Genomic DNA, 17174 nt, shown 5'->3' with positions numbered 1-17174 from the left:
CAGAAGGCATGCACAATGATCCAGTGGAACATCTGAAAAATATTAGAAATTCTACGGATAATTACTTTTTATCTAAGTAAAAAACAAAGTTTAGTAATTATTTAACATAAAGGCTGAGATTAGAACTTGTATATAATGTATAAATACATATATTATGTGTGAATGCTGAAGTTTTTCTAAAGAGTGCTTGATAAAAAATTTGTAAATCATTTATCTGTTATTTATTTATTTAGAGACAGGATCTCGCTCTCTTGCCAGGATGGAGTGCAGTGGTGCAATCATAGCTCACTATAACCTTGAACTCCTGGGTTCATGCAATCCTCCTGCCCTGGCCTTTCATGTAGCTAGGACTACACTACTAAACTTACCTATCATTTAGTACCTGAATGAAGCTTTATGGGTGACAGACAGAGGATTTTGGAAAAACTTTCTGAAAACTTTCTTTGGGTCCAGAATTTGAGCAGGTCACAAGGAGGTAATCTTATTACAGGTGCCAGAGTACAATGTGACTCAGTGTTAGTGCTTGGATCTTTTGATTTTTTGCAGTTTATTGTAGTGTAGCTTCAGTGTAGTTTTAGCATAGTTTTATTGTTGTTATTGTTAAAGAAAGAACTATGTTGCGGAAGCTGGTTTGTTCCACATTTTCTGTTAAGGTTGCAATCTTATTTGAAGAGAAAAAATGCACAGATAATATGCAGTACAAATTCATTGTTTATATTATGATTAGCAGTTGACAAGATATCCATCTTATAAACTGAATAAGTTCTGTTTAAATTGGTTGCATTGGTAATAAATGAAAAGTGGTGCTAGGCTACTTGTTGGGATTTGTATGCTAAGAAGATTTTCTTTAATTTTGAAGCAAACTGATAGAAGTTCACACAGCCATCATCTGTGCTTCTGTTGTTGGGACTCAAAGACGTGTAGTAGAAAGATTTTTCATCAAGCTTAACTTTACTTAATGATTAAAGCAATTTTTGCAAAACTGTGTCCTACAGGAGAAATCTGTATTCCTGTTGGATTTCAAAGACATTTTACAATACTACTTCCACTTGCACCAGGGAAAAAATTTTACAGAATAGTAAGCTATTTGTTTTGAGGATTGGACTAATCAATTTCAGTGATTATAAACCTCTGATCTTCACATTGATGGGTTATGTAATGGTGTTGAAACTGTGCATATTAACAATACATGAAATGGTTTTAAATGTCTTTTATGAACAGTGTCAATTAGAGAAGGGGCTAAATTGACTGCAAAAGCTCATATTTGATGGCAAAGATGCTCTTCTACTCTCAGTAAAAGTTGTTCTTTTTACTGACTCAAAGTCTATTTGGTACTCTTTTAAGACTAAAACTACACCCCTAATTATATAATCAGGGAGAGTACTAGAGTGATTATAACTACATGTTTTTCTGCAATCTTTGAACACAATATCAAATGCTGGTGTTCTAAGTAGTCTGTTTCCAAATATCCAAGTTTAGACTGGACCAAGAATATATGTTAGAAAACATGTCTGATGAGCGTTTCAAGGCTGGTCACATCATCTGATTGCATTTGGAGGACGCACATTGGCTTGGGCTGTGAGCTGGGTATGAATGGCTACAAGAAGAAAAATCCTTCTATAAATTCAAGTCATTTGTATGCAGTCAGTGTGAGAAATATGTGCATAAGGAGTACCTTTTATGGTGAACATACACAATAGTTCCAGAGGATTGTCTTTATAATACATCATACTATATGCAAAGATATTTAGAAAATATTTGCACGAAAGTGATGGCAAAACCATTGACTAGTCTGGAATGGGTTTGGCTATCACAAAGACAATCTGTAAGAATGTTTTTTCTTTTCTTTTTTTTTACAAGATGGAGTCTCACTCTGTTGCCCAGGCTGGAGTGCAGTGGTGGGATCTGGGCTCACTGCAACCTCCGTCTCCTGGGTTCAAGTGATTCTTCTGCCTCAGCTTCCCAAGTAGCTGGGACTACAGGCGTGTACCACCATGCCCGGCTAATTTTTGTATTTTTAGTAGAGATGGGGTTTTGCCTTATTGTCCAGGCTGGTCTCGAACTCCTGACCTCATGATCCACCTGCCTCCGCCTCCCAAAGTGCTGGGATTATAAGCACGAGCCACCGCGCTCGGGCCCAGCATGTTTTTTCATGTTCCAGTCACCATGGAGTCGCTCAGCAGAAGCTCTTGCTTCTAGGGGGATTTCAGAGGAAGCGCCAAGAAATTGTGTTCAAGAATCTGTCCAGGTTTGCAGCTAGGGTAAGGGTTTCTTTCAGTAGAGCTGCAAAGTCAAAGCAGAAATAATTCTCAGGCTTGTGAAATGCCTTAAGTTGAGACAGCTAGTATTTTTATATCAACTCTAGATTAATATTCTGTTCTTTTAAAATTTTGTAGTTCTGTGTTGTAGAATTTTAAGTCAGGAGTTAATGCAGAGTTAATTTTACAGACATGAAAACTTGTATCATGAAGGCCTTCCCATTTCTTGAATGTTTTTCTTTTGCTACTTAGTACAACAGGAGAAAAATTAGGTGATTTTTTTGGGTACCAATTTTAAGTTTGGTAAGAATGGAAAGATGCTTAAATAATAGATAACTTTAAGTAAGTAATTGCAGAGGGGGCAGATAAAAGGCACCATTCATCAAGTGTCAACTCTGTGCCAGCTATTTAGCTAAGTGCTTTACATGAGCTATATAATGTAATCTTCACATTAACCCTGTGAGGTAGGTAATATTGTCTCCATTTTACATAGGAGGAAACTGACCATCCAGAGAAATTAACAGATTTTAAAAATGTCCTACAACTAGTAAATGACAGAACTGGGATTTGAACTAAGAGCTCCAGGCTCTAAAGCACATGTTCACTTTATAGTTTTACTTCCCACACATGGTCATTTAAAATGGCATTATTTAGTCATAGATTGAATATAGCTGTCATGAGAAATCAGCTTGTTCTGTGTGAGGGTAAGAGTCACTAAGGGTTATTTGCTGGTTTCTTTAAATTGACTTGGAGAGCTAAGTCTCTAGGAGAAGGCAGATGTCTTCATTTACTACCTGGAAGGATAAATGTTGCCACACTTGCACAAACATATTGTATTTCTAGAAACCAGCATACACATTTGATGTGGAATGAAAATACACTCTTTGTTTGGCCCAGCCCATTAATTTTAAAATGCCTAGAGCCCAAAGCAGCCCCAAACAGCTGGAATACTACCTGCTATTCCAAAATAGGCACTAAAATCCTCTATTTATAAAAAATAAAAATGCTCTTCTTTTCTTAACAAGCTTTGTTAGTGAAAAAGCAACCAAAACTGATTGCCTGGTGTTTTTTCTTACTTTGCATTGAGTCCTGCATTATATTGCTGTTGTGATGAAATCTGAAGTATACACAAAAATCAAACACATTTCCTGCCTGTAGGAACCTTTGTAAAAAACAAACATTAATTATATAAAAACATATTCCTAGGCCACACAATATTAATTTTAAATAATTGAGTCAGTACAAACATATTTTTCTATTTTATATAGAATGGATTTTCTCTTTTCCTTTCTATGTACTTTCCTGTTTACAAAACAAGTGTTACTTTAAAAATTCATTGTAATTCTTTAGACTGCCTCCTCTGGATATTTCATTTTTGATGGCTATTTGAGAATTTATTCATTTATGCAGTGTGAAGTTGTGCAAAGAGCAGTAGACTGAATGTCATTGGCCCAACTTATAGTTTTATTTTGTGAAGGGTAGTGTCTAGCCCAGTGCCTGATGTATTGTAGGCACTTCTTAGATGCCCATTGATGTTTTGTAAAATCTCTGCTAGCTAAGTGACTTTGGGCAGTTCTCTAGCCGTCTATTTCCTTATTTTAAATATGTGAAGTTTACGGATGATTTCTAGGGGCCCATAGCTAGCTCTGCAATGCTGTAAAGGAGGAAAAACAATTTTCTCCTCTACCTTTCATTAGTTATTAGTTGGGACTTCTAAATGTCTAATTTCTAATGTTTAAAAGACATTAACATGAGAACAGTGTCTTCTAAAACTTCTAATGTCTAAAAGACATTAACATGAGAACAGCAAACAGAAGTTTAATAACGTGTACTTTCTATATACATGATAGCTCAGAGAAATGAGTAAATATCTATTTGGAGTAAGTCTTGAAGAAGTCACAAATTCCAGGAACATGAAGATAATGGGTGAGGCAGCTAGTCAGGAGCAAAAACGCTTTTAAACAATTACCCCTGGGCATAGGTGCCACCCCCAGGGGGTGAGGGGATGACTGAAGTCTTATGTCTCTCCAGGCTTGATAAATTTTGTATTCCTCACATAGCTTAGACTTCTCTGAGCTATTTTTCTTTTTTCAATATTTTTAACACTCACTATAGAACTTGTTAAGCCAAATATGTCCACTGGGAATGCTATAAGCTTATTCCAATGTTTTCTCCATTGGTTATAACATTTTAAGGAAAGTTACTCTTTTGGAATGAGGGTTTTGTAGTTAGGTTATGATCCAAGTGCAAATATTACCCTGATTACTTTATAGCCATCAATTGGCTTAGATAAAAAAATGATGATACATTCAGCCTGATCAAATACCTTTTTAATTAGACTTTGTTCAATTAAATTTCTCCCAAAGGGTACATTTGCCATTATTAAAACATTAATTTTTTTTTACTTACTCGCTGTAAGTACAGATAAAAATATTCAAAATATATTTAAGTATGTGAACTACCATGGAATTAGTGTTACTTCTTTCTAAGATGTTGCTTTTGAACAAAATAATACTAATTTGGTTGCATGAATTCTTTTGTCTTCATTGAAAAGTCAATTACTTTAAAGATGCTTCTTTGTTCTCCGTTAAATCAATTCACTCCTAAATGTAATTCAAAAGCATAGCCCCAGGGGAGTACTTTTGAAATGGCAGAGTGGGGACATCTGAAAATTCACTCCTTAAAAGCAATGAGAACACTGGCAAAAATGGTCAAAATAACTTTTTCAGAACTCTGGAAATTAAGGCTTGCAACAAGAAAAATGGCAGAATTGATACAAGAACAATGATTTTTGTGGTGTTTTAATTTACCCTATTTCCATCTCCCTCTCTCTAGGATCACAGTAGCCTTGTTTGGGGGCAAAGGGAGAGCTTCCCCACTTTCCCCACCCCAGCCCTCTGAAGGTTTGCTGAAAAATCACTAACGTGAGGCAGATTGATTAATAGGAGAAAAGGCATACACATTTATTCAATGTGTATACACAGTGGCCTTCAGAATGAAGACAAAGATACATTATCCATTTTTAGGCTGAGATTCAATGAAGTATGGACATACCTGTAGAAATATGATTGTTCAAAAGGATATTGTTAGTGGTGGCGAGTCCAAACAGGTCCGCAGCAACCTTCAATTCTTGCCTCCTCTGAAGAAAGAATTTGACCGAGGGGCATAAGGCAGAGTGAGAGACCCAGACAAGTTTTGGAGGAGGAGTGAAAGTTTATTAAAAAGTTTTAGAGCAGGAATGACAGGAAGTAAAGTACATTTAGAAGAGGGCCAAGTGGGTGACTTGAGAGATCAAGTATGTGATTTGACCTTTGACTTAGGATTTTATACATTTCATTAGCATGCTTCTGGGGTCTGCATCTCTGCATCTCTTATATCCTGATTCTTCCTTGCGGTGGGCCATCCAGATGCACAGTGACCTACTAGGACTTTGGAGGGGTTGAATGCACAGTGTGTTTACTGAAGTTGTACACATAGTCACTTGAGATGTTTTTTCCTTACCAACTGAGTGTTCCTAGAGGAAGGTCATCTGCCATTTTGCCTCTTAGGGTGCGTGCTTGAGCCCACTCACCCAACTCCTGAGATCTTATTGGGAAGCTGCTGATTACCAGTTTCAGATGTTATCTGTCTATTGGGAGACTGCCTTTTCCTGGCACTGGCTGCGACCAATTATTATTTTAGCAAGACTGTATAACAACCACCTTACCATCACCTGATGGTTGCCTGACATTCCTGGTGAAGAAGCAGTGGACCCTCTCCTACCATGCTTGTGTCTCACTAACTACCTTCTATAACAATATGATCTAGTGTTAAAAAACTGAGTGGGGAAACCCAGCAAGTCCTGTCTGTCTAGATTCTTCTTGTCCTCTCTGTGCAGCAGTCCTTCCTTCTGGGTGTGGGATGGGGCCCCCTCTGGAATGTCAAACAAAATAGATTAGATAATTTCTTTATGGCCTGTTTTTACATAGACTATTTTTAGGTTTCTAAGGCTGGCTTTTGGGAAAAGGGGTCCTGCTTTCTATGACCCACCTTGGGGAAGAGAGATTCTAGTTTTCATGGCTAGCCTTGCGGGAGAATGGGACTGAGAGACAGGCATGCAGGAGAAGGTCAAATAAAAATGTTTGCTTTTGAGCTACTGCTAAGGCCTTCATTTTGAGGCATTGTTTTCTGAGCCCCAATCTTGAAAGTCAGTAGTCACACAACCATGGTAGCTGTGAAACCCACAGCTGAGCAGCCACTGAAAAAAGAAGAATGGATTTGGAGCTGCCTCAAAAGCTCCATACCCCTGAGACAATTTCATAAATTGTAAAACTGCGTTTATTGCTTTATAATGTTTAAAGATGTAATTTGTATCAAATAATGTAAGAGCAAAACATAAAATGTGAGAAAAGAAAACATAAAAGTAGACTTAGGTTACCATGGGTTAAGCAATTGTTTTTAGATATGAAGATCCGCTTCCTTCTCCTTTTCCTTTTCTTATTTATGCTTGGATAAATATTACTTCCCTTGAGAAGCCTTTTCCTATGAATTGCATTCTCTGCATCCTACTCAAATTTGTGTTCCCATGGGAGTATACCTACAGGAAAACATTCATCATGATGTTATATTGTTTATATTAGTGCCTTTGAATCTCTCTCCACAGCTAGGCTTAGGAACATTTTTGTATGTTCAAGACTAGCAGTGTCTGACATATAGTAGGGATTCAATATAGAGTTATAAAATTTTAAAATAAATTTTGGACCAAGTTGCGTAAGGAATAGGGTAGAATTACTTCTAATAGAAAGTATAAGTTAAAAAATAATATTTATTATGATAGTCTTATTTTCTGTTTAATTTACTTTAAATGATAATGTGAAATCATTATTTGTGTAATAGGACATACTGGTATTATCATTAAAATGAAACTTCACAGTTTTCTATTGGCCACAATGATTGGCAACTCTCTCTGCGTTGTCATATGGACCTATCATGAGGTTTTCTATGTAGAGAGTAGTCAATATTTATTTGAAGAATCAGTGAATGAATGAATGCATCTTATGGAAGCATAATCCAAGGATCTTTTCCTTAGAAATCATTATCATTCTTGTTACATTGAAAATGTCCTCTAAAAAGTAAGATAAATTGAATTTGATTCATTTGGCTGGTGGGATATTTATATTCAGAACTAAAGTGAATTGATTACATATCAATTATTCATGATTAATAATATAATACAAGTGATTGTCCCATTAGACATTTTTTCATGCTATATGACATAAAGGACAGTAACAATCTATGAAATTGAAGTATCTTGGAAAATTAATTTTTATTCCAAATAAACTTAACTAATAAGGAGTCCCTGCTGAATTATAAATATTTAAAGATATCTGCAAATTATAAACCATCATATATATTAGAAAAAAATTAGTCTGAGTAGAGAAGCAGTGCTGTGCATTTTTTTCCTGACTTATTGGGCTCCTTTTAAGCTTTGCAATCAAATAAATTTCTCTAGTCACTCAGAAGTGTAAATAAAGAGCACTCAGCGTGCTGATATATTTTATATTTAGTGAAGGTGCTGCAGAAGGAAAACAAAAGGACTTGCAACTGAATCAAAGTGATGAAATGTAGTGGATTACATAGATCAGGCAATAAATAAACTATTGACCAGAGTATGTTTAAGTGAACATTTTTGTTAGAAAATAACTTTGAAAATGCTAAACAGGTCTTTATTGCTACTATTGGTCTTATTTAGTTAAATCTTGCTATTTGATTAAATCATTTTTGAGGTGAAAAATATTTGACTGTCCTCTCATTTTTTTTTTCAAAAGTGTAAAGATCATGACCTAAAATCAGTAATAGGAGAAAAAATAAAGACAGAATGGTGGAGGGAGGATAATGATGAAAATGTCAAACGTAAAAATGTGTAGAATTGCTGTGTTTTGTGGGGAAGCCTACTTTCCCTCTGATGTTTTGATGATTGACACATTTTGCCAAAATAAACTGACAATAGACAGACAGATTAACAGGAGAAAAAGACACAAAAGTTTATTATTGTGCACATACATGGGTATGAGAGTCCCACAGATATAAGACTCAAAGAAACAGACAGACAGTTGAAGCTTATATACCCTCTTCATTGGGGGAGGGAAATGGAGGAAATATAGGCAATTTTGAGGGATTGTAAATGATTTTTAGGGAAATTAAATGGTCCCAGTGATAAATGCAGGAGGCAGATAAGGGAACCTGCACAGGGTCTTCTTGCCTGGGCATGCCTGCAATGCACTGGGGGCCTATGTGCACACTGGGAGAATGGGGTGGAGTCACCAGGAATTGACACCTTATGCAGGGGCAGGAGTCGGGCGTCTTCAGCTTGTGTGTGGTGACCTGGTATTCAGTCTGTGAAGTGGGAGCCGGTTGGCAGGACTCCCTCACCTGTTTGCTGAGAGTTTTCTTTTTGCCCAATGAACTCTGCTCTCCTTACCTTTCAATGGATCTGTGTGCCTAATTTTTCCTGGTTGTGAGACAAGAACCTGGATTTTACCCGAACTAAGGAGGAAAAAAATCCTGCATCACCAGGAGACAGAAATTAGCTTGTAAATGGTTCTCTTTGGCATTTGAATGAGCTTTAGAGACAGACACTATTTTCTGACAAAGTCCATCCAGTTTTGGTTACATTCCTTAGTCTTCTTTCCTGCCATAGATAATTAAATTTCAGGGCGGGGGACAAAAGACAATTCTGTGCCTTTTGGAAAGCTCAGATAAAGGAATTTGAGAGAGAGGGTTCCACTCTGTGCTTGGAGTGAGAAACAGGAGATCAAAAAGTCCTTGGTTCTGGGGCTGCTTATGAGGCCTTTTGATATCCTTTAATTTAAAAGAACTCAGCATGCCAAAGCACCATACTTTGGGGTATTGTTCTCTGGACTCCTACAATTTCTATGGTAAGGCCTATTATTTAATATATTTTTCTATAATTGTGTAATAGATATGATTTTTGGTATCTTTTATGAAGTAATGATAGATGTCATCTGTTTTTATCAATGAATGAAATTTTCTCTGTCCGTTTCTTTCATTTTCTCAGTTTTTTCTCTTCCACCTCCCCTAGTAAACCTTATCAGTTTGGAGTAGTTGAAAGAGCACTGAGTCAAAAGCCTTGATTTTATATCTGGCTGTGACTGGAACTAGCTGGGTGGCTTTAGGAGGTTAGATTTTGTGAAAGGAAAGTAGAAACTCGGGACCCCAATTCACCATGCCAAAAGGAAAAAGTTAAGCTGAAGGCTGAGTCAGCCGCCTTTCCTTTTGTTCCTAAGCAGATAGCTACAGATAAAAGGTTAAATATCTCCCCGTAGCTACATAGTGTTCACCTTAACTTATGTAAAGTGCCAATTTACCAAGCACAAGACAAATACCTAATTGACTATTACCCTATCTGCCCCTTTCCTCTTGCAGTGTGTGTATTTCCATACTCTCCCTCCTTCCCCTCCAGCCCGCTTTCCCCCTTTACATATTGAAGCCCTCAAGTTCATCTTCGGAGAAAGACAGACCACAGACTGTTTCGGTGATTTTATGTTTATTTCTTAATAAGGGTATGTCCTTAACCCTGGCAAAATAAACTTCCAAATTGATTGAGACCTGTCTCAGATACACTTTGGTTTACAAATGAATGATTTTATGGCTCTCTCCAGGTTCAAAATGTTATTGTTAATGTATGTATACTAATAGACTAATGATGGGTTAATTGTTATGTGTCCTTAGTCTTTTGAGGGCTTGGTGTTGCTTAGACTCTAGGTTTTATGACTGACTCGATGTATTTGGGGTGCAGTAAATGTCACTTATTTAGTATGGATCCCATATGTCAGTTTTTCTGATTACTGCTCCATAGGTAAACAACTCAGGACTCAACACCACCTTTGCATTCTCCAGAAAAAATTTACCCACGCCTAAAGCATCAGTAAGTAATGGTGATTGTGCTGAATGTTATTTTGGAGGTGAGGACTGAGATCTGATTTTATCTTGCCCAAATTCCTTTCTAAGGGGTCTGGGGAATCATGCCCTACAAACCATAAATTCTCATCAGATGGGTTTTATTTAACCCTGTGTATCGTGGCTTACTTTCCAATCTGACTATAGGATAAGAAGGGAAAAAATCAAAATGTTTTACCCCAAAATATATTTCCTTGCCATACCTTGAAATTGACCTGCAAAGACTCTTGTGGGAAAAATCCACATTCTACAGAGAATCTCCTTCCCCCTTCGTTTTCCTTCCTTTCTTTCTAGATCCAGGAGGCAGTCAACTGAAAGGCAGGTAAGTTTTTAGGTCTGATAAGAAACATTGTACAATCTGCTCTCTCTCTGAAGTCTGCTATCTGAGAGAGTCCTCTGCACAATAAAACTTGGTCTCCACAATCCTTTATCTTAACCTGAACATTTCCCTTCCACTGATCCCCAGTCTTCAGATAAACTCAACTAATTTTCAACCAGAAAATGTTTAAATTCACCTATGGCCTGGAAGCCCCTGCTTTGAGTTGTCCCGCCTTTCTGAACCAAACCAATGTGTTTCTTAAATGTATTTGATTGATGCCTCATGCCTCCCCAAAATATATAAAACCAAGCTGTACCCTGACCACCTTGGGCACATGTTCTCTGGACCTCCCAAGGGCTGTGTCACAGGCCATGGTCACTCATATTTGGTTCAGAATAAATCTCTTAAAATATTTTACAGAGTTTGACTCTTTTCATCATCAAAGGAAAGCTTTTACCTTGCACATTCCATAACAAATTACTGTAAAAATCTTTGTTATACCTGTACGTTCTCCAGAAATCATCTTTGTTCTCCTGTTCCTGGAAAGGGGTCCCAATCCAGACCCCAAGAGAGGATTCTTGGACCTTGTGCAAGAAAGAATTCAGGGCGAGTCCATAAAGTACAGTGAAAGCAAGTTTACTGGGAAAGCAAAGGAATAAAAGAATGGCAGTCCATAGGCAGGGCAGCATCTTGGACTGCTCTATTGATAATACTTATAGTTATTTCTTGATTATATGCCAAACAAGGGGTGGATTATTCATAAGTTTTCTGGGAAAGGGGTGGGCAATTCCCAGAACTGAGGGTTCCTTCTCTTTTTAAACCAGACAGTGTAACTTCCTGACATTACTATGGCATTTGTAAACTGTCATGACACTGGTGGGAGTGTCTTTTAGCATGCTAATGCATTATAATTAGCCTTTAATGAAAAGTGAGGACAACCAGAGGTCACTTTTGATGCCATCTTCATTTTGGTAGGTTTTGGCCGGCTTCTTTACCCCAATCTGTTTTATCAGCAAAGTCTTTGTGACCTGTATCTTGTGCCGACTTCCCATCTCATCCTGTGACTAGGAATGCCTAATCTCCTGGGAATGCAGCCTAGTAGGTCTCAGCCTTATTTTACCCAGCCCCTATTTAAGATGAAGTTGCTCTGGTTCAAAGGCCTCTGACACTACCATGCTGCCAAGGAGATTCTTTACACTTTAGTCTTCTCAGGACTAAGAAGCATTCACCTTCCCCAGCTTCTGACTACCTTTCCTCTAGGTTATCATTATCCAACTTTAGGTTTCTTTTCCCTCTATTTTACCTAATAATCTCCTATCTTTATTCAAACTGCATACAACCACCCATCAATGTGCTCAGCCAATAAAGGACCTTTCTGGTGTACTGGGAGCCAGTTGCATCAGAAGGCAGTGGGCATTGAACAAATAACCACAGGGATTGCCATGGTAGAAATAGTCATCTTATGTAGGATTATGAGTTTAAGAGTTCAAGATAATTTGAAACAATAAAGTAGAGTGATGATCAGCATATTCTTCTTAATTATATGAATTGCCACTTGAAAGCATGAATTAGAAAAAAGGTAACATTTTAAAGTAGTATCTTGGAAGACCTGGGATGCCTATAAACTTAGAAGTTTGATTAGAAAAGTATTAATGAATAAGGAATGATCAACCACTTTGGGCCAGCCTTAACATTTTGGTGATGTCTTCTTCAAGATGAACATATGTTATAAAACACTAGTTATATTATAATATATATATGTGTATATATAGATTTATAATTAGAACCACAATGTATATATAGGCTTCTTAAACCTTTATTATAGAATATTTGTAACATTATCAAAAGTAGAAAAAATAATGTAATGAACCTTTGTGTCCCTAACACCCAACTTCAGTAATTATCAATTCACGATCCATCTTGTTTCATCTCTGTCACACCCACTTCATTCCCCTCACATATTATTTTGAAGCAAATGGCAATCATTATGTCATTTCATCGGCAAATGTATCAACCATATATAATTTTATATAGTTTACTTTCTCTTTGTATTTTATATATCACACATTGCCCCATAGAATTAATTAAAAAATACAAATACAATGGATGCATAATATTGTCTTGTGTGGATATACTATAATTTATTTAACAATAGCTGTACTTTTGGATGGTTTGTTTCTGAATTTTAATAATACCAACAATACTGCACTGAGAATCTTTGCCCATAAATACTTATTTCAGTATCTGATTGCTTTCTTTGCATAGAATTTTAGAAAGGCAGCAATAAGTATATTAAACTTATTTGAAGCCTACTGCAACAACTTCTGACTGGTGACTATATTTCAATTTTCAATACCTGGTTTGAAAAGTAAACAGGCAAACTCAACAAGGTAATTTTTATACTCTCCAATCAGACAAAAACATTGTTTCAGGAATTTGTTATAATGGATAGGCTGTCCTAAATTCTTCCATAATCCATTAAAATTAATTGTAAAATTTTGAGGATGATGTTTGCAGATTTAATTTGCAACTAGTGACAATGAATGGCCAGTCTTGGTAAGTCTGTATTTTGGTGATATTCTTATGAAGCCCCGTTAGTATTATCTGAACATTTTTAAAGTTTCCTGAAACATATTGCAGTTCATTTTATATGATCATTCTAAATATTTATAATGTAAAACCCAGAAGTGATTTTCCAACTATGCTCAGTGCCATTCGGATTCTTATTAAGGTTCTGAGCTAGTTTTCTGATCCATAAATTAAGAAGACTAAGAAGAAGTGGAAAAAATCAGAAGATAATAAATGGAAATTAGTGAAGGGCTAGAAAGCAGGATCAGTAAAGACGGCTAAAGAAATTGTGTTGATTTAACCTGAAAAGGAGAGAGCTCAGGAATATATGTGAATTACAGAAGATAGTTCTTAGGACAGTTTATAATGTGATACATGCCTCCTAAGCAATGTAAACACCAATGGGAAAATTCCAGTTTGGTTCCACTTTTTTTGAATTTAGAGGTACCCTTTTGAATTTATTAATCTTGATTTTTTCCATTTCATTAATTTCTGATTTTATCCTTATCATTTTCTTCTTTCTTTTAGGGTTTACTGTTATTCTTTTTTCAATTTCTTCGGTTTTTTATACGCTTAGCACATTCATTGTCAGTCATTTTTTAAAAATAATTTCTAACACAAATATTTAAGGCTCTTTATTTTCCTCCAGGTAATATGTAGCTGTTGTAGTTTGATCAAAGTTTCTCATCTATTATCTAATTTACATAAAGACATTTTCTTTGATCCTAATGTTATTTTGGCTAAGAGTTCTACCTCCAAAGCCATGCTGCCAAGGACCACAGCTGAGCTCCACCACTTATGTGTGCACGTGTGGTTATTTAGCACCTTATTTATTCTCTTTCTGCCTCAATTTGCTCATCTATGAAACTGGGATGATAATAGCAGTACCTACCTTATATAGTTGTTACAAGGATTAAAAGTGCTAACGTATTTAAAATACTCAGAAGAGTGCCCACCACTTAGCAAGGACCATATGCGTTGCTACTATTATTTCTCTGGAACATTTTTACTGACTTCTAATGTATTATCATGATGGTCAGAAAATGTGGGTTGTATAATCTTGATTCTTCAAATTGAGATTTGCTTTGCTTTCTGGCTTAGTGGGTGGTCAATAGTGTAAATGTCTCATGAATGCTTTAATCAGAATATATTTTCTATTGAATATATCTAATGATTCTATATTTGTTCATTAAATTAAATAATAATCATGTTGTTCAAATCTGATTCTTACTGATATTTTGTCAGTAAAATTTTTATTTTATTGAGACAGAGTCTATCTCTGTCCCTCAGCCTGGAGTGCCATGACATGATCATGGCTCACTGTGGCTTTGACCTCCTGGGCTCAAGGAATCCTCTTATCTCAGCCTCTGAGTAGCTGGGGACACAGGCACACACCACTGTGCTCAGCTAATTTTTTTGTATTTTTGTAGAAATGGAGTTTTGCTGTATTGCCCAGGCTGGTCTTGAATTCCTGGGCTCAAGCAATCCGCTGGCCTCAGCCTCCTAAAGTGCTATGATTACAGGTGTGAGCCACTGCGCCAGGCCATCTCCTTAATTTTTAACTACCAAAAGAGATGTGGTATAATCTCTCATGGCGATTGTAAATTTGCCAATGTCTTCATAATTCAGTCAATTATTGTTTCAAATATTTGTGATTATGCTATTGAGGTCGTGGAAATCAAGAATTGTAATTATTTCCTAGTAAATATTCCTATTGTCTTTATCCAATGACCCTTGTATACTAGTAACTCTTATTGGCCTAAACATCTTTTTTGGTCTGGTATAAAAACAGTATTTCCTTTATTCTTAACTTATTCAACATTCTTTTATTTAATATCTGCTTTGTAACTCTTCTTCCATTTCTTTTGTTTGAATCTTTCTATAGTTTTCTCTTGAAACAGCATGAAGCTGAACTAAGAACAGTTGTGAGAATCTCTTTGTTCAGTTTAATTATTTTACTCTAATTTATGCTTATCAATAGATTGATTTGTTTTCTGCTTTTAATTTATAGTTATTTTCCAATGTTTTTGTTTTATAGTAAATTTATGGCAAAACTTTCATTTAAATGCCTAAATCTTAAGCGTACATATTCTGCATTTTGATGAATACAAACATCCTTGTAACCCATCACCTCAGATAGTTTCAAGTTCCTTTATCCCTCTTGTGAGCCAGGAGTGCCTCCCACACTAGACAACCACTATTCTCACCTTTTCCACCCTTCATTAGTTTTGCCTGTTCTCATTACTTTACATTAATGGAATCACACAGTGCATTCTGTTTTGTGTAAGTCTTCTTTCACTTGTTGTGACATTTTTAATATTTATCTATGTCATTATATATACCAGTAGTTTGTTTCTTTTTATGGGAAAGTAGTAATATACCACAATTGTTTATACATTTCTCTATTTTTTGACACCTGGGCATTTCTAAGTTTTGGTTATTATAAATAAAGGTGCTATTTACATCCATGCACAAGGCTTTCTGTGGAACATACTTTTATTTCTCTTAAATAAATAAGAATGAAATTATTTGGTCATAGGATAGACATATTTTCAGTTTTATAAGAAATGGTCACACTCTTTCCTGAAGGAGTTTTATCATTTTACCCTCTGACTGACTAATGTATAAGAGTTCTGGTTGCTGGAACTTCAGCTTTTGCCAGATGTGTATTGGCATCTAATGGTGGTTTAATTTGCATTCCCCTAATGAATATAATTTTGAGTATCTTCTCATGTGATTAATGGCCATTTATATGTCTTTCTTTGTAAGTGTCTGTTAACATAGTTTTCCCATTTTTAAATTGGGTTGTTTGTCTTATTATTGAGTTGTATTTTTATTTATTTTTATCTTTTCCCGCTTTCTATTGAGTTGTAAGCACTTTCATATATGGTTTTAGTCATTTCTCACAAAAACCTTGGGAAATAGATATAATTATTTCCATTTTAGGTATGAGGAATAGGAGTTATGATGGTTATGTGACTTCTCCATAGTCTCATGAGTAATAAATGATAGAACTCTGATACAGGATGGCTAGGATGAAAACTGTGTAATTGTAACTACTACATTATGCTACAAATAATAAGTAGTATGGGACTTTATGTGAGAGAGGGAACCCATGTGAGCTGAGATGATTAAAGAAAATAAGTGGAAATGATAGATTTTGATGAGTGACAGATGAGTGATAAATAATTATTTATCAAGTAGTGGTATTGTGTTGTGGGATATAGAGGTTTGTAAAAATACCTCCATGCAAAAGATAGTCATGCACCTACATGGAGTAATAATAGAGAGATCAATCAGAAAATGTCCTCAAAATTATAAGATTATTTGAGGCCAGGAACTTTAACAAGTAATTATCAAGATGCTTTAGTGCATTGCAAATTATGAGAACTAAAACTTTCTTCCCTATTCTTTGAACATTATTTTGTATTCTCTTCTGCTAAAATGGTTTGGTTTCCACAACAATGAATTAATAAAGTATTAACTTTGCTTAAGATTTTTATTTAATGGGCATTTTATTTATTTATTATTATTTTTTGAGACAGGGTCTTACCCTATCGCTCAGGCTGGAGTGCAGTGGTACAATGATAGCTGACTACAGCCTCCAACTATTGGGTTCAAGCGATCCTCCCATCTCAGCCTCCCAAGTAACCGGGACTACAGGCATGCACCACCACTCCCAGCTAATTTTTGTATTTTTTTGTAGAGACAAGGTTTCTCGATATTGCCCAGGCTGGTCTTGAACTCCTAGGCTCAAGTGATCCATCTGCCTCAGCCTCCCAAAGTGCTAGGATTACAAGCATGAACAACCGTGCCCAGCCTTAATGGACATTTAAAAAAATTGGGTGCTACCAGTCTTGAAATAAGTTGGGTTGAGTTTGGAACCACAGGGTATTTTAACTTGAGAAATTACGGCAACTTCAGAATTATAGAATAGTTAAGTATAGTAGTGCATTTAAAGTTAGCTCAGTTCAGTCCATGAACTCCTAAGAGAGAATCCAGAAAAGATACAAAGTTGTGACAGAGGTATAGGGAAGAGAATCACATAAATGTATACAGTTTAGTGGGCC

At 36.0% G+C, this 17174-nt stretch overlaps 1 protein-coding gene across 8 annotated transcripts in view, besides 2 other annotated features; it reads left to right on the top strand.

Annotated features, from left to right (window-relative positions):
• Positions 1-17174, top strand: part of CTNNA3 (catenin alpha 3) — a 1851072-nt gene that overhangs the window by 474400 nt on the left and 1359498 nt on the right. For 2 of the 8 annotated variants that reach the window (XM_017016152.2, XM_017016151.2), the window contains one exon: positions 10117-10185. The exons of the other annotated variants lie outside the window; for them this stretch is intronic. In XM_017016152.2, the coding sequence (XP_016871641.1) occupies positions 10117-10185 (69 nt within the window). The remainder of the gene's footprint in view (positions 1-10116; positions 10186-17174) is intronic. 8 annotated transcript variants of the gene reach the window in all.
• Positions 11156-11325: an enhancer, noted in NCBI's record as "experimental_15629 CRE fragment used in MPRA reporter constructs". NCBI's record gives its function as "activates a minimal promoter by MPRAs in K562 erythroleukemia cells, with activity observed for both the introgressed and non-introgressed 10:69037713 or rs117855715 variant alleles {active_cell/tissue: K562}" and the evidence as "EXISTENCE:reporter gene assay evidence [ECO:0000049][PMID:34662402]".
• Position 11240: a transcriptional cis regulatory region, noted in NCBI's record as "Neanderthal adaptively introgressed variant 10:69037713 (GRCh37/hg19 assembly coordinates) or rs117855715 in the experimental_15629 CRE". NCBI's record gives its function as "modulates activity of the experimental_15629 enhancer by MPRAs in K562 erythroleukemia cells {active_cell/tissue: K562}" and the evidence as "EXISTENCE:reporter gene assay evidence [ECO:0000049][PMID:34662402]".

The sequence above is a fragment of the Homo sapiens genome, chromosome 10 (genome assembly GCF_000001405.40).
Source record: "Homo sapiens chromosome 10, GRCh38.p14 Primary Assembly".
Classification (NCBI taxonomy): Eukaryota; Metazoa; Chordata; class Mammalia; order Primates; family Hominidae; genus Homo; species Homo sapiens.
The sequence above is the reverse complement of the archived record's forward strand: the minus strand, read 5'-3'. Positions and strand labels throughout refer to the sequence as shown.